Here is a 26062-nt window from a genome sequence, read left to right on the forward strand (position 1 = left end):
TTTTGTCATACTAGTAAATAAAAAACCAAGACGCTCCCCCCGACCCCTTCTTTTTTTTTTTTTTTTTTTTTTTTTTGAGATAGAGTCTGTCACTCTGTTGCCCAGGCTGGAGTGCAGTGGCATGATCTCGGCTCACTGCAACCTCTGCCTCCCACATTCAAGCGATTCTCCTACCTTGACCTCCTGAGTAGCTGGGATCACAGGCACCTGCCACCATGCCCAGCTAATTTTTATACTTTTGTAGAGACGGAGTTTCACCATGTTGGCCAGGCTGGTCTCGAACTCCTGACCTCAGGTGATCCACCCGCCTTGGCCTCCCAAAGTGCTGGGATTACAGGTGTGAGCCACCGTGCCTGACCGCAAATTTTACATGTATGTATGTATGTAACAAGAATACCAAGTTAGTCTTTCTTCATAAAAAGCAATTTCAATTTGAGGATACTTCATATTTGCCTTTTGTGCCAGCACCAAGTCTGCCTCATCTGAATCCTTCCATTTCATGAGCAACATCAATTCTTCACTGCCATCTGTGGCACCAATTATTCTTTCAGGATCAAGACCTCTGGCAATTCCTCTTGGTTTGTCAACAGCATCTCTTCTTTGATTTGCTGTCATCAGATTCACTGCCAGATAAAGGTTTTCTTTTTGTACCATCTTTTTCTTCACCAGCTTTTTGAGAATTAAGAAATGCTTCAATTAACTCTGGACAATCTAAATTTTCTTCAGGTTCCAAAGTATTGTCAGCATCTGTAAATTCCTTCAGGAAATATTCCACTTTCCCATTCCCTGCGTGTCTATCTAGTACATTTTCCACCACAAATTCTTCAGGCTCTGCCTCTTCAACTTTTTTACTTTTCCATTCTGTTTCTTTCCCATGTTTTGCAATGTGGTTTTGTTGGAGGCCATTTTTTATTGCAGACCTGAAGAGCTATTATTCACTGCCTCCAAGCTGCTCTGGGTCATGGGTCTGTGGTGTCTCCAGTCTTGCATGTCACCAGCTCGAGCCACATCCAAGTGGGGAGGGAGCCAGGGAGCTGTTGTTGGCAGGGGAAGTGGGGGTGGGGTGGGGTAGGGAGGGGCGGTGGATATTATATTTTGCTTACATATATGTGTAATATCACTTGTTATTTCTTATGAATAGCAGATGAGTTTAATTTTTCTTTTTGGCCCATAAAATGCCTAGTATGTATGCAAGAAATATTTGTTGAATAAATATGTAATACTCTTTATAAGCTTTTTAAAAAATTGTGTCAAAGAATACATAACAAAAATTATCATTTAATCATTATAAAATGTACAGTTCAGTGGCATTAAGTGTATACACATTGTTGTGTAGCCATTACCACTGTCCAACTCCAGAACTTTTTTCATCTTATAAGCCTTTTTTCTTTTTTTTCTTTTAATTGAGATGGGATTTCACTCTGTCCCCCAGGCTGAAGTGCAGTGGCGCTATTGTGGCTCACTGCAACCTCTACCTCCCAGGCTCAAGCAGTCCTCCCACCTCAGCCTTAGGCACATGCTACCATGCTCGGCTAATTTTTTGTATTTTTGGTGAAAAAGGGGTTTCACCATGTTGCCCAAGCTGGTTTTGAACTCCTGAGCTCAAGCCATTCACCTGCCTTGGCCTCCCAAAGTGCTGAGATTTAAGCTTATTTTAAAATAAGCCTCGTAAATTATAAATTTTTCATTTCATATTATAGAAATCTGTTTCTGTTTTTCTTTATGACTCAGGGTAATAATTCTTGAAGATGAACTTGAAAAGCTTGTTTGTACTAAAGAAACACAAGAACTAGTGTCAGAGGCTTATCCCATCCTAGAACAGAAATTAAAGTTGATTCAGCCCCACGTTCAAGCAAGCAACAATTGCTGGGAAGAGGCCATTTCTCAGGTCGACAAACTGCTACGAAGAAATACAGATAAAAAAGGTACCTGTGAGAGATTTCTTTGCCATATGCTTATCAGACATGCTTATTCCACTCTGGTAGGATTTTATTAGGTAGACTTCTTGTCTTTATGATGAAACTAGCTTCAAAATTTCTTAGTTTACTTTTTTTTAATGTTGAATTTATATGTACAAAGTGACACTGAATACAATTCTTGGCTCTCATTTTGTAAATTAAAAATGAATATGATTTGAAAGTTCAGTGAATCATATCTCTTTTTTAAAAAGACTGAAATGAGAGAATAAATTTTGATAGCATTTTTCTATTATTAGAACTTCCAGAAACTCTTTTTCAGTTAGGATAATAAAAGAATGAGTTTGATAGTCTGGGGCTAGGAACTTGAGTTTTTCTTTTAAGATAAAATACTTAACTTTAGTCATTCAAAAATAATATACAAATGATATAATTAGTGGCACTGCATATTTAGTACTAAGATCTAAAGACATTGTGTCATTATTTAATAATATATCAGATTGCTTTGTGCTACTAGGTAAAAAAATATATATATAGTCTTGAGATTTTTCCACCAAGCTGCTTTTATGTGACTCCGATTTTATGCTTGTTTTTACCTCACTGATTTCATTTTTCAATGTTTGGCATATCAATTTTTAAAAACTGTGCTGCAAATCAGTACCATATTTATCTCTTGGATGTTTATTGTGAGGTTACTCAGACTTAGGCATAGAATTTGCATTGTTGCTAAAGATAATTAATGCTTTACCATCCTGTTATTTTTGTGTTTACAGCTAGATTTGTAATAATTTCTTTAATGTCTTAAACAAGCTTGAACAAATCCTTAGATAGGAAAAGTATTCACTTTTTCCAAAGGAAATATTAACATGCTAATTACTGATATATTACCCGTAGGTTTTCTTAATATCTCAAATGTAAACTGTGAATAATTTTTTCTCCAAAGGATAAATCTACCAAGAAACTCTGATATATGCAAATACTTATGCATATTAAACTTTCTGATATGACATCTAGAGCTTTTGTGTACATTTTCTACAAATAGAAACACTCAGAAGACCTTTGGTTGTTAAAAGATGCATCCTGGCCAGGCACGGTGATGGGAGTAGCTGTTACCCAGCTTCTCAGGAGGCTGAGGCAGGAGGATTGCTTAAGCCCAAGAGTTTGAGGCTGCAGTGAGCTATGATCGTGCCACTGCTGCACTCCAGCCTGGGCAACAGAGCGAGACTCCGTCTCAAAAAAAAAAATAAATAAATAAATAAATAAATAAATAAATAAATAAATAAAAAAGGCCAGGCTCAGTGGCTCACGCCTGTAATCCCAGCACTTTGGGAGGCTGAGGTGGGCAGATCATGAGGTCAGGAGATCGAGACCATCCTGGCTAACACAATGAAACCCTGTCTCTACTAAAAATACAAAAAATTAGCCGGGCATGGTGGCGGGCACCTGTAGTCACAGCTACTCGGGAGGCTGAGGTAGGAGAATGGCGTGAACCCAGGAGGCGGAGCTTGCAGTGAGCTGAGATCGTACCACTGCACTCCAGCCTGGGCAACAGAGCAAGACTCTTGTCTCAAAAAAAAAAAAAAAAAAAAAAAAAGAAAGATGCATCCCATTCATCCCTCCTTTAGCACACTATGAGATGTTGAATCTTAGTCTATCGCTTATCCACTATTGTTAACCATTACTGTGAAAACTTTCTCCACCTCATTGGGTAGGTAATTAAGATAAGCCATTTTCTAATTATTTTCTGTATGTGTGGCTTTTGCTTATAGATAATAATGATATGGATTAAGACACAAATAGTTCACAAACTTTTTTCACTAAAAAATTCACAGTGGCCATGACTACACAGGTTTAAATTTAAAAAATGTTCATTTGAATATTTTAAGAAGCAGGTACTTTAGTTAGCCATATCTTTTTTTAAAAAGGTCTTATTTTGAAATCATTTCAAACTTACAGAAAAGTTGCAATAGTTGAAAGTCTCCTTCATCAATATTCCCTAGTTGTTGACATTCTGTCACAATTGCCTTATCTATGTATGTATCTGTATGTGTGTGTAATTCTTTTGATGGTGGTGTTACTCTGAGCCATTTGAGAGTAAGTTGTAGACTTGAAGCCCCATTACCCCTAAATATTTCTGTATGCATTTTTGTAAAACAGGAACATTCTCCTGTGTACCCACAGTATACCATCAAAATCAGAAAATGAACACCAACCATGATATTGTCATTTTATCCACAGAACCCATTCAAATTTCCCTGATTGTCCCAATATTTTTTATATGTCTAGACCTAGATTGTGCATGGTGTTCAGTTGTCATGCTCTTTATTCTCCTTTTCCTTAAAGTCTTTCATGATAAATATTTTGTAAAGAAATACTCTGAGGTTTTATAAATATGCTTTCTTCATCAAAATTTTAACCACTATGAATGCATATACCATATGACCCAGTAGTATCATTCCTACGTATTTAACCAAGAAATATAAAAACTTAGTGTTCACACAAAAGCCTATACATAAATATTTTGTTTATAAACTAAAACTAGAAGCAGCTAGGCTTTGGGAGGTGACTAAGCTGTTACATCCATCCATACAGTGAAATACTACTCGGCAACAAAAAAAGTGAACTACCAATGCATACAACACGATGAATGAATCTCAATACATTATGCCAAGTGAAAGACATCACATTCAAACCACTACATACTATGTTATTCCACTTATGAGGTACTCTTAAGTTGGCAAAGGAACAGAAAACAGATCAGTAGTTGCAAGGAATTGGAGATGGAGGGAGGAATGGCTTGTAAAATCTTTTAATGGCAATGGCATTTAGAAACCAAGATTAGGGTACTTGGCTTTGGCGGCACATGTATTGAAATTAGAATGATACAGAGAAAATTAACATGTCCTTTGTGTAAGGATGATGTACAAATTCATGAATCATTCCATATTTTATATAGAATTTATATAAATATGTATGTATACACATATACATATATATACACATATATATCTACATATATATTGTGGTAAGCTCAGGAAATCATTGAGAATAGGTTATAACTTTGGCATTACTCGAGGATTACCATAGAAAAGAATCTCCAGTTAATAAAGTTTCCCATTGTTAAAAATATCACAGGCCAGGTGCGGTGGCTCATGCCTATAATCTCAGCACTTTGGGAGCCCAAGGAGGGAGGATCACTTGAAACCAGTAGTTTGAGACCAGCTTGGGCAATATGGCAAAACCCCATCTCTACCAAAAAAAACAAAAAGTTACTTGGGAGGCTGAGGTGGAAAGATTGTTTGAGCCCAGGAGGTCGAGGCTTCAGTGAGCCATGATTGCACAACTGCACTCCATCCTTGGTGACACAGTGAGACCCTGTCTCAAAAATATATGTGTGTGCGCATGTGTATGTGTGTGTGTCACATTATTTTAAAACGCTTCATATTTATTACCTCTAGGGCCTTGTTATTCAGAGTGGTCCCCAGACTAGCATATAAGCATCACATGAGAGCTTGTTACAAATGCACCCCTGACTTTAAATCCACCTGTATTTTAATAAGATCTGGTAGTTGCATCCACGTTAAAGTGTGAGAAATTTGAGAAGCATTGCTCTGGGATAAAGGTCTGCAATTTTTTTCCTCTAAAGATTTTCTGCCTTGCAGGCCATATGGTGTCTGTTACAACTACTTTACTCTGCTGTTGTAATGTGAAAGCACCCATAGACTATACTTAAATGAGTGTGGCTGTGTTCTAGGAAAAATGTATTTACAAGAACAGGCAGTGGGGCAGATTTGGCAAGCCCCTGCTTTCAGACAGTAGAATTGAGGGATAAGGTCTTCAGGGAGCTTTTTTCACTTTATAACCTTCTGTGCTGTTTGTAAAAGCTATTACTGCAAGCATGTAATTAAAAATCTGGTGGGTTTTTAAAATTTTTTTAGGCTTTTTGTGTTTGTTTGTTTTTGAGACAGAGTCTCACTGTGTTGTGCAGGCTGGAGTGTGGAGTGCATTGGCGCAATTTCAGCTCACTGCAAGCTGTGCGTCCCAGGTTCAAATGATCCTCCTGCCTCAGCCTCTCGAATAGCTGGAACTACAGCCATGCACCACCATGCCCAGCTAGTTTTTGTGTTTTTTGGTAGAGATGGGTTTTCGTCATGTTGGCCAGGCTGGTCTCCAACTCCTAACCTCAAGTGATCAGCCCATATCAGCCTCCCAAAGTGCTGAGATTACAGGCTTGAGCCACCACATCCGGCCTCTTGCTAGATTTTTGTTAAATGGATTGCATGCTGGAGCTAGCTCTCCAAAGATTGTTAAATATTCAGAAATTTGTGAGTCAGTTTAACATCATTGGTAGCTTAAAATTGGTCACAGTGGGTGCATTTACACCATGGGAACTGGAAATCAGGAAGTGCTGCAAATTGGGTGTTTTGTTTTGTTTAGAGCTGGATTGCCAGCACACTGTTTAATGTACCTGTTTATTGCTATTAATAATAGTCTTATGGATTTATTTGGTTTTTTTTCTTTTCATTCAAAGAACTCGATATATGGTGTCACCATTGATGTAATGAAATCTGTGTTCTGCTAATTAGGCAATAATGGCAGTTTTTGAGCATGTAATCTGTAGCAGGCACTTTTCATGTATTCTTTTTTAATCTTACAAGATAGTACTATTATTTTCACCACTGTTCTACAGATAACTGTAATTTTTTTTTTTTTTTTTTGAGACAAAGTCGCACTCTGTCGCCCAGGCTGGAGTGCAGTGGCGCGATCTCGCCTCACTGCAACCTCCGCCTCCCAAGTTCAAGCAATTCTCCTGCCTCAGCCTCCCAAATAGCTGGGACTACAGGCGCATGCCACCATACCCAGCTAATTTTTGTGTTTTTATTAGAGATGGGGTTTCACCATATTAGCCAGGCTGGTCTCAAACTCTTGACCTCGTGATCCACCCACCTTAGCCTCCCAAAGTGCTGGAATTACAGGTGTGAGCCACTGTACCTGGCCCTTTTTTTTTTTTTTTTTTTTTGAGACAGAGTCTTGCTCTGTTGCCCAGGCTGGAGTGTAATGATGCAATCTTGGCTCACTGCAACCTCCATCTCCCGGGTTCAAACGATTCTTCTGCCTCAGCCTCCTGAGTAGCTGGGATTACAGGTACATACCACCATGCCTGGCTAATTTTTCTATTTTTAGTAGAGATGGGGGTTTCACCATGTTGGTCAGGCTGGTCTCAAACTCCTGACCTCATGATCCTCCTGCCTTGGCCTCCCAAAGTGCTAGGATTACAGGCGTGAGCCACTGTGCCCAGCCAGTTAACTATAATTTAAACTAGAAAGCAGCAAGAGCTGGGATGTAACCCAGGTGTGACTAACTCTACAGCTCTTAGCCACTGTGCTATTCTGTCTCTCATTAGTGCTTCCTATTAATTTATTCATCGTTCTGCCATCTTGCCTACAAACTAATCAGTCATTTTTTGTAACATTTCCCAAATACTTCTTTATTTTAACCATTTAACTATTGTTACTTTTGAAAATTAAAAATCAACAAGTTTAAACCATACTTCTTTTTTTTAAGTAGAAAGATAATGATTAATGATAGCCACCTGGATATGAGACTAAGTAACCCTGTCATTAAATACCAAACATAAATTTTAAGAATTAATCAAAGTTAAACTCACTTGGGTGATCTTTAAAAGATATTTCCTTGTGAATTCATTTCCAATTCCAACCTCTGAGTGTTAAAATAGCCTCAGGGTAAGTTTGAAGTTTGTATTTTGTGAAGAAGAGTGATGGTCTGTCTTAAGACTGTTCCTATGCTGTGAATGATAATATTTTGTTCAACAAGTACTTACAGAGTACCTGGTGTGTACCAGATACTGTGAAGAGGTGAAGAGAGAAGGGCAGGTCCTCTTCTCCAAGAGTTTAAAGACTTAAAGTTAAGTTGTAAATCTACTAATTTATTGTTTTTCACTTTAATATCTTTATGTTTTTATAAATACAAAGTTATTAGAACAAGTTGGACTATGAAATTGACAAAGTATTAGTACCAAGGATTTTTTTGGTTGGGGGAGACAGGATCTAGCTCTGTTGCCCAGGCTGGAGTGCAGTGGTGTGATCACTGCTCACTGTAGTCTTGATCTCCCCAGCTCAAGCGATCCTTCCACCTCAGCCTCCCAAGTAGCTGGGATTACAGGTGTGCACCACCATGCCCAGCCAATTTTTATTTCAGTTTTTGTAGCGACAGAGTCTTTGTTTCCAGGCTGGTGTTGAACTCCTGGGCTCAAGCGATCCTCCTGCCTCAGCCTCCCGAAGTGCTGGGATTACAGGCATGAGCCACCACACCTGGCCCCAAGGGTGTTTTTAATTAGATGTTCACTCATTTCTGTGTGGTCTGTTTCTTATCTTTATTCCCATCTATTCCCGTTTTTTAAAGGCAAGCCTGAAATAGCATGTGAAAACCCACATTGTACAGTAGTACCTTTGAAGCAGCCTACTCTACACATTGCAGACAAAGATCCAATCCCAGAGGAGCAGGTAAGGGTGAAAATTACTGTTCTTTCCCTTGTTGGATTTCTGTTTCTAATGAGCTTCAAAATTACAACATAATATATTGAATTTATATCAGATCATTAGTTCTTAGTGCTTAACTCTGAATTCATTGAATCTGCCTGCAGACTTTTTTTTGATTGTTATTTATATCTAATTGTCTATATCTGAGTGGCTTTCAAAAGTGATTAAACACATTGAAAATTAGTACATTGGCAAAGCTACCTTTTGGGATGCTGGAAATGTGTTTATCTTGATCTGAGTAGCAGTTACTGGTATGTGTACATATGTAAAAATCCTGTGCACTTGACTGCATGTACTATGATATACCTCACTTTTAAAAACAATTTTTTAATGATCGCATTGGATATTGACAAAGGTTACTTTTGTTCATTGTAAGGAAAACCTCTTTTCCTTAGGTCATATTATCTATTCAGTATTTTTTTTCCGTGTATATTGCATAACAAGTTACTATTCAGTATTCTTAATTGCAAATGGAAACCAACCCTAGTTAGTTTAACAGACAGATACTTTATTTAAACTTTTAGGTAGCTTACAGAATATTTCAGAGAGCTAGATAAGCAGGCTTGAATGATGCTAGGGTAAACAGCCAAATCACTCAAAAGAACTGTTGCAATGGAACTATCATTGCTAAGTTAATGGGTGGAGACATTGCCCCTTGCTTCGTCAATGCTGAATAGTAAAACTTAACCTCCAGAAGTGCTACTTCAAGAAACATATCTGCAACATCCTGCCAGAATAGATTTTCCAAAGTGCTTGGTTCTTTTTTATATGAGACCGAGTCTCACTCTGTGGCCCAGGCTGGAGTGCAGGGGCGCGATCTCGGCTCACTGCAACCTCTGTTGCCCGTGTTCAAGCGATTCTCCTGCCTCAGCCTCCTGAGTAGCTGGGATTACAGGTGCCTGCCACCGCGCCTGGCTAATTTTTGTAGTTTTTAGTAGAGACAGGGTTTCACCATCTTGGCCAGGCTGGTCTTGAACTCCTGACCTCGTGATCCGCCTGCCTCAGCCTCCCAAAGTGCTGGGATTACAGGCATGAGCCACCGCGCCCGGCTGGTGCCTGCTTCTTTTATCTCAGACTTCTAAGTCCGATCTGATGCAGGTACGTCGATTAGAGAATCCCAGGTCATTTACCTGAGCCTATACTGTAAGGATACTGCTTGGGTAAGCAAGCATCCTACCCTCTCTGTCTTAGAGATAGGGAGAACCATAAGGTGGGGTGTTCCCTAATCCTAGGAAGAATGTTCAAACTTCCTGGGAAATCTGAAAGAACCACAAGAAAACAAACATGCCTGACCACCTCCCCAAAGTGCCAGCCCTTCTAATTTTGATTGGTTTTGATATAGCTAATGGCTGTAACACTAAGTGTATGGTATGTTACCAGAGTAGAAAAATAACTACTGAAGTTGTTAAACTTTTTTTATCCACAATGCTTTTTAGTATCAACTGTTAGGTTGTTTTTGAAGATTTCAATTTATCCATAGGTATATATTTGCTTTTTTCTTTTCCTAGCTCTGCTTTAATGACCTGTGCCAAATGCAAGTCCTTTTTTTTTAATCTCAGAGATAAGTAAGTGCAAGTAAATGAATGCTTACTAGAGAATTGTTTGCTTCAAGTAAAGTGCTTTTTCTTCTATTCATTTTCAGGAATTAGAAGCTTATGTAGATGATATAGATATTGATAGTGATTTCAGAAAGGATGATTTTTATTACTTGTCTCAAGAAGACAAAGAGAGACAGAAGCGTGAGCATGAAGAATCCAAGAGGGTGCTCCAAGAATTAAAATCTGTGCTGGGATTTAAAGCTTCAGAGGCAGAAAGGCAGAAGTGGAAGCAACTTCTATTTAGTGATCATGGTAAGCACTGACTTTAAAGTAACAGGTTATTTCAATGTAGGGGATTCTTTCTTTCTTGAACCATGAATGTTATTTTAGCTGAAGAATTCTTGGGGTTTTATAAGGGTCCACCAGTATGCATAGTACTTTTTCTTCTAGATGCTAAATCAATTTGATTAATAAAAGAGTAGGAATGTAACCACATTGGAAATATGAAGTCATACTTTTTTATGAGTTATTTAATTTTTTAGTAAATTTGTTTTAGAATGGGCAGTGAGTTGAATAATTTGGGATATTTTAAATGTTATTTTCAAATTTAGTGAATTTGAGATTCTCAACTCTGTTGTCCATATGTTAAAATATTTAAAAATACCTCAGTGAAGCACAAAATTAATAACTGTGCTCACATTGAAAAAAATGGCCCAGGCGCAGCGGCACATGCTTGTAATATCAGCACGTTGGGAAGCTGAGGCGGGTGGATCATTTGAGGTCAGGAGTTCAAGACCAGCCTGGCCAACATGGCGAAACCCCATCTCTACTAAAAATACAAAAATTAACAAGGCATGGTGGCGCGTGCCTGTAGTCCCAGCTACTCGAGAGGCTGAGGCAGGAGAATCACTTGAACCCGGGAGGCGGAGGTTTCAGTGAGCCAAGATCACGCCACTGCACTCCAGCCTGGGCAACAGAGGGAGACTCCATCTCAAAAAGAAAAAAAGAAAGAAAAGAAAAGAAAAGAAAAAAAAGGAATTAAAACCTAGACCAGTGAGCCACATCATTAGCATTATTTAAGTGGTTTGAGCACTTTAGTAGATGGGAGGGGAGCAGGGTGCCTGTGGGCGTACTCCCCATACTCTGATTTCAGCAGAGTGGGGTAGCTGGTAATACAAAAGCCTTACATTCCTTTCTGTTTCTCACCCTTCTTTTCTTAAGTCAAACTTCATGGGAGACAGGGAAGGAATCAGGGGAAGCTTAATACTTGACAGTATCAACCTAGCTAATTCTTAGTTGAATTAATGCCTATGGATTTCTAAGTAGGTAGAGTGTGGATTCTCTTCCATTTTACAGTATCTGTGTGGACCCTCGAAATCAACTGCCCTGCTTTTCCCTCCTCACTAGAAGTACATAGATTACCTATACTTCTGGAAAGTTCCTCCAGTTCTCTTTTTTTTTTTCCCCTCAGGAGCCCTATGTTTTCTCCTGTCCAGATCTGCATTTCTTGGTTTTATCATTCCTCTTTCTTCCCATTGGCCCCCTTTATAGCCCAGGTCCTCAGTAGATTATCCTTGTACATTAAAATACCTTCTTAGCTGACTTCCATTTTCAGTACTTTTTTCTTCTAAGCTATCTTGCAAACTCTTTGCAGATTTTTCTCCAACACTGCATTGATGATGGCTCTCTATCTTAAAACCTATAGTGGTTTCTCCCTTTCTTATTGTGTTGAATCTAAACTCTTTTTCCTGTTTTCAAGTCTCTTCATCATAAGAATTCATCTATCCAATTATATTTTCTACTGTTTTTACTATAGATATCTTCTTATGTTTATCGAATTAAACTACAGTTCACAAATGTGTTATTTTTATTCATGAAAAAAATTCATGCTGGCCAAGCACAGTGGCTCACGCCTCTAATTCCAACACTTTGGGAGGCCAAGGCAGGTGGATCACTTGAGGTCAGGAGTTCAAGACCAGCCTGGCCAACATGGCGAAACCCCCTCTCTACTAAAAATACAAAAATTAGCCAGGTGTGATGGCGCACACCTATAATCCCAGCTGCTCTGGAGGCTGAGGCAGGAGAATCGCTTGAACCTGGGAGGTGGAGGTTGCAGTGAGCCGACATCGCACCACTGCACTCCAGCCTGGGTGACAGAGTGAGACTCTCTCTCAAAAAATAATAATAATAATAATAATAATAATAATTCATGCTTACCCCTTTACCAAGAATTCTGCCTTCTCCACCAAGCTGTCCTCTCTACTAGTCTCTCCTTCTCCATGAATCCTTCTCTGAGTGCTCCAGCTCTGCCGCCTCTCCTAACACTACAGACCCTCACACTAGAGGAACATTGTGATAAAATATAAAGGAAGTCTTGAACCCCAAAGCATATAGCAGAGAAGGGAAATGATTAACAGATTGATTTCCTGCAATCTGTTCATTCATATACTGGGCCTACATACATCAGAGATTAATTTTAGGCACTGTTGTTTTCTATATGTTCAGGGTTTTGTTTTGTTTTGTTTTGTTTGTCTCTGTAACAAAATTACAGTCTTCTTAAATAGGGGCCTTATTATCCCACAGCATTCATTCAGCAAATTACTCATTCAACAAGTAGTTATTAGGTACTTGTTATATGTCAGGCACTGTTTACTGCTGTATCCCTAGCGCAAAGATCAAGAGACAAAATGTAAAGCCTCCTACCTGCCTCAAGGCTTAAATTCTAACACACTCGTCAATTGATCCTCTCATTACTCAGATTATATCCACCCCATTTAATTAGTAATAATTGTGAACTATCAACCAACTTCTAATATATGTTGCTTCCTTTAAGAGCTAACAGATTTATAAACTAAGAATGTACATATATTGAAAATAGCATTGTATATAAACTTATATCCTTTTTTATTGTTTAGTGTTTCTTCATATAGCTTTAAAATTATGCTATTGACATTATGGGAAAGATTTATCAATGAGAGAAATGTGTCTCTTTTTCAGGTATGTGCTTTTGATATAGTTTACATTGGAAAGGGTCATAATGCTGTTTTAGTTTGTGAAAATAAGTAAAAAGCTGCTGATACCATAGAATGCTTTTCCCATGAAAAATTTCAGTACATCTTCCAGAGCTGTTTTCATCTCTGCCTACAGGGGTAAAGTCCGCATGGAATTAGAGGGGGAAAGTCTGCACTGGAACCTGCTGTGGCCATTTTTTTTCTGTTGTTGCTGCTTCTCTAGTGGAGTTACTGCAGCTTAGGGATGGTTCCTGGAAGTGGACACATTTTACAAAAACGTTTTTTAAATACACGCCAGCTCTTCGAGAAGCACTTTTTTCCTTCCGTCATGCTTCATACTATATTGTATTGTACTAACCCCTCATGCTGGGATGAGCGACTGCCTAGCAAGCAACCCACTGCCTACTAACATCAAGAGGGGCTAAATAAAACTGCATTTTCCTTGCAAGGACAACTTCTACCGTATGAATATATATTATATTTATGTATTATATTTTGTACAATAGTTGATCTTGAATGCAGACTTCATTTGTATTTTTCGTGGTACTACAAAATGTGTAGAAGTTATGGCTTTTCTTTCATTAGGGTCTTGTTAGGTGGTTGGCAAGTAAGTTAAATTGTATGTTGCATTTTTTTCCATGCTGTTTTAACTTGTAAATATATATGTATACATATGGAAGATATTATTATTATCTAGATTACTTTAAGCCTTTTATCTGATGTATTATCAGTGAAAACCATGCTGCTTATTCCCTAATACAATGGTTCTCAAACTTTAGTGTGTATCAGAATCAAGATGAGGGCTTGTAAAATATAGCTGGTCCCTACTCCCAGAGTTTCCATTTCAGGAGGTCTGGGATCAGGCCCAAGAATTTGCATTTTTAACAAATTCCTAGGTGATAACTGATAATGTTGGTTCAGGGAACACACTTTCAGAACCACTGCTTTAATATTTTAAATAAGATAATATGTGAGGTGTCATAAAAACCTTCATCAAATCCCTATCTCATTTCATTTCTTAGGCATTTTCTCTCTTATAAAGTTTCCTGGATTTATAAATTTTCATTGATTTTACTAGAAAGTTTTATTTAGCTTTTATTTATTTATTGTTCTTTTTAAGAAAAAAACTGAGAGTTTGAATTAAAAGTTTAAATCATTGCTAGGTCCTTAGTTATTTTTTTTCTTTTTTCTTTTTTTTTATTTGAAGCCGTGTTGAAATCCTTGTCTCCTGTAGACCCAGTGGAACCCATAAGTAATTCAGAACCATCAATGAATTCAGATATGGGAAAAGTCAGTAAAAATGATACTGAAGAGGAAAGTAATAAATCCGCCACAACAGACAATGAAATAAGTAGGACTGAGTATTTATGTGAAAACTCTCTAGAAGGTAAAAATAAAGATAATTCTTCAAATGAAGTCTTCCCCCAAGGAGCAGAAGAAAGAATGTGTTACCAATGTGAGAGTGAAGATGAACCACAAGCAGATGGAAGTGGTCTGACCACTGCCCCTCCAACTCCCAGGGACTCATTACAGCCCTCCATTAAGCAGAGGCTGGCACGGCTACAGCTGTCACCAGATTTTACCTTCACTGCTGGCCTTGCTGCAGAAGTGGCTGCTAGATCTCTCTCCTTTACCACCATGCAGGAACAGACTTTTGGTGGTGAGGAGGAAGAACAAATAATAGAAGAAAATAAAAATGAGATAGAAGAAAAGTAAGAACCAAGATTCATATGAAGTGATATTAGATTGTTCCTTTTACAAAAGTGTTTAGCTTCAAGACTGGAAAGGGAATATGAGTGTAAGTTTACTATATATAAAGCTAAGATGTGGATTTACAGGAAGAACCCTGGTTTGAATAACTGATCTGAAATTAGTAGTTACCTGTAAATGGCAGATCTTTTAGGAAAATAAGAGAAAGGTAAGGGCTCTTTTGAATAAACTGCTGTTTTATTTGTGGCACAACTGATCAATCTTGGAAATTCTTTAAGTATTTTTAATAAGAAATGAATTATCATTTCTTGCCAGAATTTGCTACCTTAAGGTGATTGGGAAAATTCTGTTGCAAGAACATTAACATTTAGTATGACTCCTTTTTACTGTATTCTTGCAGTTAATAACTGCAGCTATTATGTTAATAACAAGTTGTTTGTATTTTATTTTTGTTTATACCAGTCTTAAAGATCCAGGTTCTGAATAAAAAAATTAATTGATACAATTGATGTGTGCTGGGGTTTGGAACTAAAAGTAGTTTCAACAGTGCGTGGGTTATGACATTTCTTATGTTTCTTTGTTCATGTGTGTATTTAGTAGTTAATTTTAAGATGTCCTAGTGATCTTTAAAAGAAAAATATTGTACCATTTTTTAGAATTACACTTTCACCTTTCTTTTTGCAATTGAAAGTGATGATGTCAAAGTGGGATTTCTGTACTCCAAGGCCCCACCCCCAATTTAGCAAGCAGAAAAACGTTCCTTGTATCACTTTACCTTGGATAATTGGGTGCCATTAACACAAACAGGTCACAATCCTGCTGTTTTCTAGCCCTGTCCACCATAATGAGATTCAGGAAACATCCTGTCAGCCTCCTGGAAAGCATCCTTGTCTCCTTAGTATTTCATTTACAAACTACCTCTTAACAGAGACTGCTTTTCAAATTGGCCAATCTTACCTGTTTTGTGTTGTGATTGCATTTTCAAAGAGTAATTATTTTCAGCATATACAGTTTTGAAACCTGTAGCTCCTATGCAATAACATAGTTCTATAGACATTATTTGGGGGAAATGTAGTAATAACTCAATCTATGTTGCTGTCCTAGAAAGGAAATTGCATGATGAATCTAGATTGTCTTTAGAGTAAAGAAACACATTCAAATTCCTGTAACTTATCACTTTCAGTGAGTAAATTTACTTATACCAAAGGGGATTTTTTTTCTTTCAGGAATCTAAGGAAATTTACTTTTTAACCTGAGAAAAAAACTTGGTTCTGCTTTATATAAACAGTAGAGATTATTGTACTATAAGTGATTTTGCCTTTTTGCCAAAATCCTGGAACTCATCTATAATTAACCTCTTCGGAGCAATACCTTAGGTTGGGCCTTGCTTTACTACTTAGAAATAGCTAAATTTCAATTTTAAAAATCTTTGTGTGTTATAACTGTTAAATTATTCAATAATACTTAGGGTTTACTTTCTTATTTAAATCACTTATTTAGTTTACCGACTTCATTTTTCTTTGGATTTAGAAGAAGCAATTATGGAAAAACTTGGTAATCTCTCTCAACCTATAACCTTACACAGGAAGAATTAGAGTTTAATAATTTTTAATTCTTTTATTGTATGTTACTTTTATTACACCAGTTTGGGGGAAAATCTTCATAAAATTGTATCAGTTTTATTCAGTGTTCTCTAAGGTGATACCTTTTAATTTTGAAAGACTAAATAATTTTAATCGAGAATTTCCAGTCTTTCAGTCTGATCTATTTAATTCACTACTTGTTACATAATCCAGTGAAAACTCTACTTGTTGAAATTATGACATAAAGATCTTGCAGCTTTATTTGAGTATTTGTTCTTTTGTGTAGTTTCCATCTTTTAAAATATTTAAAATATTTTCAAGATAAAGTATTATCTTCTCTGCAAAAATTCCTGGAGTAATTTTCTCTCATAATATTTGAAGTCAGTGGTTCTCAGTTGTATTAGTGGGGTAACTACATCAAAATAAATAAAGTCTTATTTTTAAAATGCAAATTTTAGACCATACTCCCAGTGATTCTTAGTTGGTCTTTTTGGAATGAGCCATAGGTAATGTTTATGTCCAATAAAATCTAGGAACCTCTGTCTGGAACTTTGCTCTTCTTGCCATGAATACCTTAGGAAGTATTAAAAAACAGGCCAATGTAATATGAGTAGGTTTTCTTGTTTGTTACTTTTCTAAGAATATTTTACTTCCCTTAGCAGGCTTTTGGCTAGCTTTCAAAGCTGCCACCCTGGCCAGGTGCGGTGGCTCACGCCTGTAATCCCAGCACTTTGGGAGGCCGAGGCAGGCAGATTGCCTAAGCTCAGGAGTTCGAAACCAGCCTGGGCAACATGGTGAAACCCCGTCTCTACTAAAAATACAAAAAATTAGCTGGGCATGGTGGTGGGTGCCTATAGTCCCAGCTACTCGGGAGGCTGAGGCAGGAGAATGGCGTGAACCTGGGAGGCAGAGCTTGCAGTGAGCCGAGATCGTGCCACTGCACTCCAGCCTGGGCGACAGAGCGAGACTCCGTCTCAAAAAAAAAGCTGCTACCCTATATACAGAAGAAGCCCTCTGGGGAAAAAAATAAAACACTGCAGGGAAAACTTATAATTGTGCTTTTTAAGTTTTACAATATGATTTTTAACAGTATGATTCTTGTTAGGAGTATCATCCTGACAGTTTTTAATACAGATATTTCTGTAGTTTGTTTTACCAGGACAAACCTAGTACTTAATGGAAGAATGCATGTGAGAGTCTATTTAGGTCACTCTTGAAGACAGAATTTGTACCCTTTGTCTACCTCCAGGTAGGAAAGTCCATTTAAAACTCAATTTTCTTAATAGTAATATTCTGATTTACGTAAGAAAAGTTATAAAGCTTTTAGTGTTAAAGCATTAAAAAAATCAAGTCCTGATACATTCCACAAAATTGTAAGTCAGTGGAGTGTTTACAGATCATTTCACTCTGGTGACTAACTCTTCACTTCCTATCAGTAATGTAAAATATGAAAAAGTTCAACTGATTTGGTTTAATCATAGTATATTGTTCCTATACCCAAAACAAACAAAGAAACAGACTAAATACTATAAGAGTGTATTATAGCTCAGCTAAATCATTGTTTGAACTAAAGTAGATATTATGCTAAGAATGACAACCAGACAAGGCATAAAGGTTGGTTTATTTTTCCAATTCTACTTACAAGAAAATAGTTATGCAGTTCACAATTAGAAAATAAAGCTACAAATATTTTAGAAGAGAAAATATAGAAAAAAAATGCAGTAACCATTTATCTGTCATCATAGACAGGTGATTAATTTGCCTAAGTTAACTTCTCAGCTAACTAAAACAAATCCATTTTAATAATTTAATAACTAAATGCACTACTTCTCTACTTTGTCTAGAGTATATAGAATATAATTTAACTTTTTCTGTCATCTTTAGGAATATCAGTTTCTATCATGGGGTGATAAACAGAAACTCATCCTCAGGGGCTACTGAGATATATGTCAGGTACCCCTTTACAACATGACCTCACACTGGTGTGCTTTTTTCAGTTATGTCTGTTTTTCACAGTTTCTCTATCTTCCCTTATAATCAGCTGTCACTTTTGCCGCCGTCTTGTGTGCCTGCCTCCTGCAATAGGTCCCTAATTTGCTGCTTCTAATCTGCTGTGGACTGAGAAACCAGATTGCCAAGCTTGCTAGAATTGTGTCTAAAATAAGAGTAAGTAGACTGAAAGAGAGCTAAGGGGCTTTTCTGTCAGTAAAGTGCATGGACTTTGTGATACCTGCTTGACTGCTTAGCATTGTTTTGTTTGCCTCTTAGTTCTTTACTAAAAACTTGCTAAAACAAATACTTGGTTGAATATGTGATTGCCATATATTTGAAGTTCTAATTCAGTTTTTATATAATGATGTTTCTAGGACTTCCATTAATGAATTCAACTATAAGAGAAATTTGACTATCATTTTTGAATAAATAATTGTGTATATTTCAGAAAAATGTTAAACGTATTGTTATCATTAATTGTTCTTAGTACAGTACACAGATTTAAAACTTATGGCACTATAAATGTAACTTCAACTCTGTTCATCAAGACTTATGTTCTAGAAATATTGTTATGAGACTAAAGATGGCTAATTTAGTAAGAACTGGGTAACTTGAATATTTGGGGAATGAGTCATTCTAGATATCCCAGTTTCCTGCAGAGCTTGAACCTCTTTCAGCCCTAAAATTTTTTGGAATAATCTCTGAAGGAAATCTTCATAAAATTGATATGCATTACTGTCTTAAATAATATATGAATGTATTTTAATTTGTTTGGTATCAAAATGATCAGCATTAACATCACTTATTATAATCTGATAGACTAATCAGACATTGAGAGCTGTTTGTCCCTGTACTAAATGGCTCCATTCTGCTGTACTCGTTTTAGTTTTCATGTCTTTAACAGTCGTTCTGATTCTTCCATTTCTATTACTGCTTGCTTAAGTGTGCCTGTAGCAGTAGCCCTTCTCCACCTTCATAATGTGCCTTCTGATCTGCTTTCATTTTGGAGACCAGACAAACTAAGTTTATTAGACTTCTGTGTAAAGTAAGAATAAATAAACTCAAAGTGAAGACTTGAGGAAGTGGATTATGCTTAAATGCATGGATTTTGTGACATCTGTTACTTTACTACCTGTTTCATTGCTATCGTTAAAATAAGTGAAGCTACCGAATTAGATACCTGCTCTCAAAATAGAAAAGTTGTTATGGTACAAAAGGAACTATTTTGTTTACATACTTTACTTTCTCTAAAGTTAGTTCTATACTAGAATTATTTGGCGCTGATTAAAACTGGTCCACTCAAGTTAGCATTTTCTATAGTATTTTCTATTTGAATTGGAGACTACATGCTGTTAAGAATTTCTTTGGCTTTTTTTTTGTTGTTGTTTTGTTTTGTTTGAGACAGAGTCTCACTCTGTTGCCGAGGCTGGAGTGCAGTGGTGCAATCTCGGCTCACTGCAAGGTCCGCCTCCCAAGTTCACGCCATTCTTCTGCCTCAGCCTCCGGAGTAGCTGGGACTACAGGCGCCCGCCACCACTCCGGCTATTTTTTTGTATTTTTAGTAGAGATGGGTTTTCACCGTGTTAGCCAGGATGGTCTCGATCTCCTGACCTTGTGATCTGCCGTCCTTGGCCTCCCAAAGTGCTGGGATTACAGGCATGAGCCACAGCGCCCAGCCGGCTTTTTTTTTTTTTTTTTTTTTTTTTTTAAGAGAGAAATGTATCTTCATTTCCAAGACATGAAAATAGATTAAGCCCTGAAAAATAAGAAAACATTCACTATTAATGTCACAGAGACCTGAGAAGTAATAAAATTTATAGACTATAGGCAATTATACCACAAAGAATTTATTTTTTGATTATGCTAGTTTTAAAAACAGGGTCTTTATTTTTATTCAGCTATAGTAAGCGGACGTTAAAAGCTTACCAAAAGTTATCAGTGTTAGATCTAATGATATTGGCAGATATTTGAATGACTAAATTCCCACTGTCATTCTGTACTGGGCATGATTAAATTGTAATTTAATATTTAATAATTAAGCAGGATCACTTTTCTCTCTTGAATGAAAAATAAAATTTGCACACTATAATATTTACAAGTAAAAGTCAAATCTGTATAGAAATGGATATCCTAGCATCAAACAACTTATTTTTAGCAACATGCTGATTATTTTAGTAACCATATATTGACTCATGTTTTCATTACAAAGTAACTGTCAAATCAGTCTGTTTATTTTATGACCATGCCTCATAGTCGGCATTCAGTTATCCATGCTAATGGAAGGGATCTGTGGTATAATAATCATAAAAGATAAGTGGTCCAGGCTGGGCGCGGTGGCTCACGCCTGTAATCCCAGCACTTTGGGAGGCCGAGGCAGGTGGATCACGAGGTCAGGAGTTCGAGACCAGCCTGACCAACATGGTGAAACCCCGTCTCTACTAAAAATACAAAAATTAGCCGGGCGTGGTGGTGGTACCTGCCTATAATTCTAGCTACTCAGTAGGCTGAGGCAGGAGAATCACTTGAACCCGGGAGGCGGAGGTTACAGTGAGCCGAGATTGCGCCATTGCACTCCAGCCTGGGTGACAGAGTAAGACTTCATCTCAAAAAAAAAAAAAAAAGATAGGTGGTCCAAACCAGTTTCTTGAGTTGAGACTGCCATTATAGAAGAGATAGTCAAGATACCAAAGCCAGGTCAGTGATAAAAGAAGAAAACTTCTGAGTGTAGTTGTGAGAGGAAAGTGATTCTATTCAGTGTAATTGCTGTAAACCAAAAAGAGGATTAATTGATTCAAGGATTCACACATGTAAAAGTTTAGCATGAATAAGGAGGAACTGATTTTATAGATATTCTAAAATGTGTGATAAGCTAGGACGTAGTGGCTCACACCTACAATCCTAGCACTTTGAGAGGCTGAGGCAGGAGGATCTCTTGAGGCCAGGAGTTCAAGACCAGCTTAGGCAAGAAACAGCAAGACTTGGTCTCTACAGAAAAACTTAAAAATTAGCTGGATGTGGTGGCACACACCTGTAGTCCCAGCTGCTCAGTAGGCTGAGGCAGGAGGATCACTTGAGCCCAGGAGGCCACAGCTGCAGTGAGCCATGATTGCACCACTGCACTCCAGCCTGGGCAACAGAACGAGAGACCTTGTCTCAAAAATAAATAAATGAAAATGGGCTGGGCGTGGTGGTTCACACCTGTAATCCCAGCAGTTTGGGAGGCCCAGGTGGGCGGATCACCTGAGGTCGGGAGTTCAAGAACCGCCTGACCAACATGGAGAAACCCCGTCTCTACTAAAAATACAAAATTAGCCGGATATGGTGGTTCATGCCTGTAATCCCAGCTACTCAGGAGGCTGAGGCAGGAGAATCGCTTGAACCTGGGAGTCGGAGGTTTTGGTGAGCCGAGATTGTGCCAATGCACTCCAGCCTGGGCAACAAGAGTGAAACTCTGTCTCAAAAAAAAAAAAAAAAAAAAAAAGAAGGAAAATGAAATGTGTGATAAATTAAAGTGCATATAGTATTTTTTATGGTATATATTTTAATGTATTTTAGCTTGTCAGCAATGAAATTAGTTTTATCTCTATGTATTGAACTTCATTTAGCAACATATTATTGCAATAGTACAGTATTTAAGCTGCATATTCTCTTGACTGCATTATCCTTTAAAATCAGTATATTCTGTGAGATATGGCTATGGATATATATATTTCCTCTCCTATTTATATCCTAAGATTTTCTTAAAGGATAATTTTACTGTTTTAGGCTTTATGTTTTTCAGTTTTATATCATTTCCTAAAGCTTAGCTACCTACAAATGAATATTATTGAAGAATTTTTCTAAAACTAAAGCATGTCTTTTATAAGTTTACTCTTTTATAATATCCTAAACAAAGCATATCCTTTTCCCCTTCCTTAAGTAAATTCTTAAGGAAATTAACTTCATTTCTAAATCAAAGTATTTTCTGCACTTTTATTGCACCAATCTGTTACCTTCTGTTCATACCATGACTTAAATAATGCTTACTCAGGCACAGTACTATCAGCTGACAACGTACAGAAGGCTCCAGAAATGTCACTCCCATCCCTTAAAGGTTGGTATATGGTCCTGGTACAGTCGTGGAGGTCCATATGGGTGAAAAGCCCAGAAGTCTACCTGAGCTGAAAGCACTCCCAAGGAGTTTGGTTTTGTTTGGGTTTGTTCTAGGTATGGTCCCAGGGATCCCAGATCAAACCAGGCCCCTGGGCCTATCCTAGAACCAACCTAAGCTCGCGCATCATTCCTGGAACATCAAGAGTGTGAAGACTGAAGATAACCTGAGGCCTACCAGACATCCTATATTCACCAAGATTCACATTTTTTGGTATGTGTGCCTACATTTTAGCAAAAATTGGTTGGTTAATCCTTCTAAAATTAGAGGGATGACATTGGGTAACAAAGTCTTCCCAGCCTTTGGCATTATAGTAATTTCTCGCAATAGAAATTCCATACAGATATTATTGCCAGTGAAGAGAGCTATTCTTGTTTATTATCAGTTCTATATTTTTAGCTGAAGCAACTTAGCCCTAAAAAACCCCAAAATCAACTTCTTCCTCCAAATTAAACTCTCCCCCAAATTTAATGGTTTCTGTTTTCTTAAATGTTTTTCTACTTGACACTGTTATGTCAGTCTCATGTAACTGAATAATTGTTCATAATTTCTGAAGAGCATTTAGTCTTTGCCATCTGGCTTCAGTGCCAAATGATTTTCAATTCTTGTTTTTGGAGACTAATGACTTTTTCCTTAATTTATTATCAAATTTGCCACATTTTAGAGCTCACTTTTAGAAGTTCTGCTATGGTTAATGAAAACAAGCTAGAATGACACAGTAGAAATTGGTTAATACGTCACATTTTACATCACTATTTTGTAGAAGATTTTTAGTAAGTTTCTCTATTTTTATTCCTTGCCACTCTGGATTTTACAAATATTCTGACCTAGTTGATCCATCACATGGTCTCATATCACAACTGTTGCATCGCTATATTCACATAGATGTTTTTCTGTTTAATTTAGAAGACAGTATTTCTGAAAAAGTATGAAACGACCCCAAATCCAAAAGTTATGGTGCACAATGAAAATGTATGCTTTTAATAATGCTGGCTTCTGCAGTAGGTGTAGACCATGTTTCAAATAACCACAGACTAATCAGAAACTCCACCTGTGAAAGGAACTTGAAATTGTGCTATTCCTCCAAGCTTATAACACCAGCAAATTGGGTCAATAGGTTATTCCTTTAAAATAGGACTATGAGCCTACAGAGGCTCACTCTGAAGAACTCAGCCGTGGAGTTAGTTCTGTACTATATCCATCACAACAGACATGCTTCATCCCATAGACTTCTTGACATAGCTTGAAATGAGTGAACCCATCCTTGATTTATATACATATATGTTCTCAGTATTTTGGGAGCCTTTCCACTTTTTTAAACCTTGTTCATTATGAACACTGAAAATAGGAATTTGTGAAGAGTTAAAAAGTTATAGCTTGTTTACGTAGTAAGTTTTTGAAGTCTACATTCAATCCAGACACTTAGTTGAGTGTTAAACTGTGATTTTTAAAAAATATCATTTGAGAATATTCTTTCAGAGGTATTTTCATTTTTACTTTTTGATTAATTGTGTTTTATATATTAGGGTAGTACATTTCCTACCCTACCTGAAGACTTGAGATTATAGTCTTTGGGGGGATGGGCAAAGTACTCTCTTTTTTTGCATCTTTTAAATTGTGATTTTTAAAAACACATATAAATTTTACTATCTTAACCATTTTTATGTGTATAGTTCAATGAGATTAAGTCCAGTCACATTGGTGTGAAACAGATCTTCAGAATTTTTTCATCTTGCAAATCTGGGACTCTATACCCATTAAACAACTCCCATTTTCCCCTTCCCCACAGCCTTGGCAACCATCATTCTACTTTTCTCTATGAATTTCACTACTTTAGATACCTCATATAAATGGAATCATACAGGATTTGTCCTTTTGTAGCTGACATATTTCACTTAACATAATGTCCTCAAGGTTCATCCATATTGTAGAATGTGATAGGATTTCCTGCCATTTTAAGGCTGAATAATATTCCACTGCATGTATTTACCACATTTTTTTATCCATTCATCTGTTGGTGGACGTTTGGGTTGCCTCCATCTCTTGGCTATTGTGAATAATGCTGCTGTAAACATGAGTGTGCAAATATCTATAATTTTTTAACACAGTACTTTATTTTCGGTATTTAATCATATGGAATTTTTGTCAATTATGTTAAAGGATTTTACAACAACCCAACTATAGATTTATATATATATGTATTATTGTTGTTCCTTCTAAGCTTAAGAAGTCTCTAATAAAATCCATACTTCCTTATATCTTTTTGTGTGTGTACCTTTTTTATTCTGCTCTTTGCCATATGGATTAATACCAAAAGGTAAAAATCCCTTTTCCTTCCTATCTGTTTTTCTTCCATTATAGTATTTTTCAGAATTTGTTAATATGCCAAAAGATGGCAGTTGTCTGGGAAAGCCATTGATTCATTACTCCAAGTTTTGTTTGTTCATTTAAGTGCCTCATATGATAATTTATCACAGTGAAAACAGCAGTGTAAATTTTAAAGTTCCATTTTTGCCATTCCCAGTGATTGTTAGCCACTGAATACATTCTGGGCATGTTATATTTATTGACTTATATAACCTCCTTGACAGAAAAGACACTGACACCAAGAAGGTCATGAACACCCGATGAAGCATACTTTGACAAGTTGGTTGAATTAATGTTACTGGTTTGAACCTTTCTAGGCTTACCTACACTCTTAGGAACATTCATGGGAACTCCAAAATGGTTCTGTATACTAAAAGCTAGTTAAAGAGAAAGTGGCCTCCCTTGAACCGGACTTTTAAATAATAAGCCATTTCTTTCCAGAAAAGATTTAAAGCAAGGAATAAATATCTATAAAGGCAATTTTTGAAACTTGACCCTTGTTTGGAATTTTCTAATTGAAAGTATGAGATAAGGTAGAATATGTGTAATTACTGGATTCTGAAGTCATTGAGTAGGAAATATCCCATATAGTAGTCCTTCCTTGTCTTCACAATTTGCTTTTGAAGGTCTTTAGCAGATGTGCTATAGCCATTGAAAATTAAGTTGGCAAATGGTAATTTTGCCTGAATGTACATCTGTAAAAATGAACATTTTCAGAATCTGATCATTAAAAAGTAGTCCCATTTAAAAGATCTCCAAATGTGTCTTTATGAGAAAATGTTCATGGTATACACATAAAATAGTCATCATACATGTTCCTAGAAATATATTCCTAGAAGATATTGTTTAAAGATAAGAAAACAGGCTCAGTAGTTTTCTCACTCAGTCACACACACAAAGTGTCAGAACCAGTATCCTAATTAGATAATTAGATCCTAAGAGATACCAACATCTGCTCTTCATCGTTATGATAAACTGCCTATGTATATACATTTCATTTTACAGCTAATCTCTAGGAGACGGTACAGAGACCTTGATTTTGGTTTTTTGTTGTTCTTCTTCTTTTTCTAAAAAGAGACAGGGTCTCACTGTGTTGTCCAGGCTGGTCTCAAACTGTTAGGCTCAAGTGATCCCCTTGCCTCAGCCTCGGGAATAGCCAGGATTACAAGTGCGAGCCACTGTGCCAGGCAAAGAGCCCTTAAATTTGGAAGTCATTAGACTTGAATTCTGGATTA

At 37.0% G+C, this 26062-nt stretch overlaps 1 protein-coding gene, 2 non-coding genes and 2 pseudogenes across 69 annotated transcripts in view; 4 read left to right on the top strand and 1 right to left on the bottom strand.

Moving 5' to 3' along the window:
- The window catches only part of VEZT (vezatin, adherens junctions transmembrane protein), an 84993-nt gene extending 68126 nt beyond the window's left edge, over positions 1–16867 (top strand). For 44 of the 67 annotated variants that reach the window (NR_147918.2, NR_147920.2, NR_038241.2 and 41 more), the window contains 4 exons: positions 1732–1925; positions 8340–8440; positions 10119–10326; positions 14233–16867. Coding sequence is in view for 55 of the 67 variants with exons in the window: in XM_047429108.1 (XP_047285064.1) it covers positions 1732–1925; positions 8340–8440; positions 10119–10326; positions 14233–14741 (1012 nt within the window). In the remaining 12 variants the exon portion in view is untranslated. Of the gene's footprint in view, positions 1–1731; positions 1926–8339; positions 8441–10118; positions 10327–12929; positions 13012–13161 lie in introns of those variants that run through there. The other 23 variants (NR_147923.2, NR_147922.2, NR_147921.2 and 20 more) reach the window with 3 other exon arrangements.
- On the bottom strand, positions 356–1012 carry CBX3P5 (CBX3 pseudogene 5; annotated as a pseudogene).
- On the top strand, positions 4760–4867 carry RNU6-808P (RNA, U6 small nuclear 808, pseudogene; annotated as a pseudogene).
- Positions 22488–22581, top strand: MIR331 (microRNA 331). The gene has a single exon (NR_029895.1). It is a non-coding gene; the product is annotated as a microRNA 331 (primary transcript).
- Positions 22582–23990: 1409 nt separating this feature from the next.
- MIR3685 (microRNA 3685) lies at positions 23991–24052 on the top strand. The gene has a single exon (NR_037456.1). It is a non-coding gene; the product is annotated as a microRNA 3685 (primary transcript).
- The last annotated feature ends 2010 nt before the right edge of the window (positions 24053–26062 follow it).

This window comes from Homo sapiens, chromosome 12 (genome assembly GCF_000001405.40).
Source record: "Homo sapiens chromosome 12, GRCh38.p14 Primary Assembly".
Taxonomy (NCBI): Eukaryota; Metazoa; Chordata; class Mammalia; order Primates; family Hominidae; genus Homo; species Homo sapiens.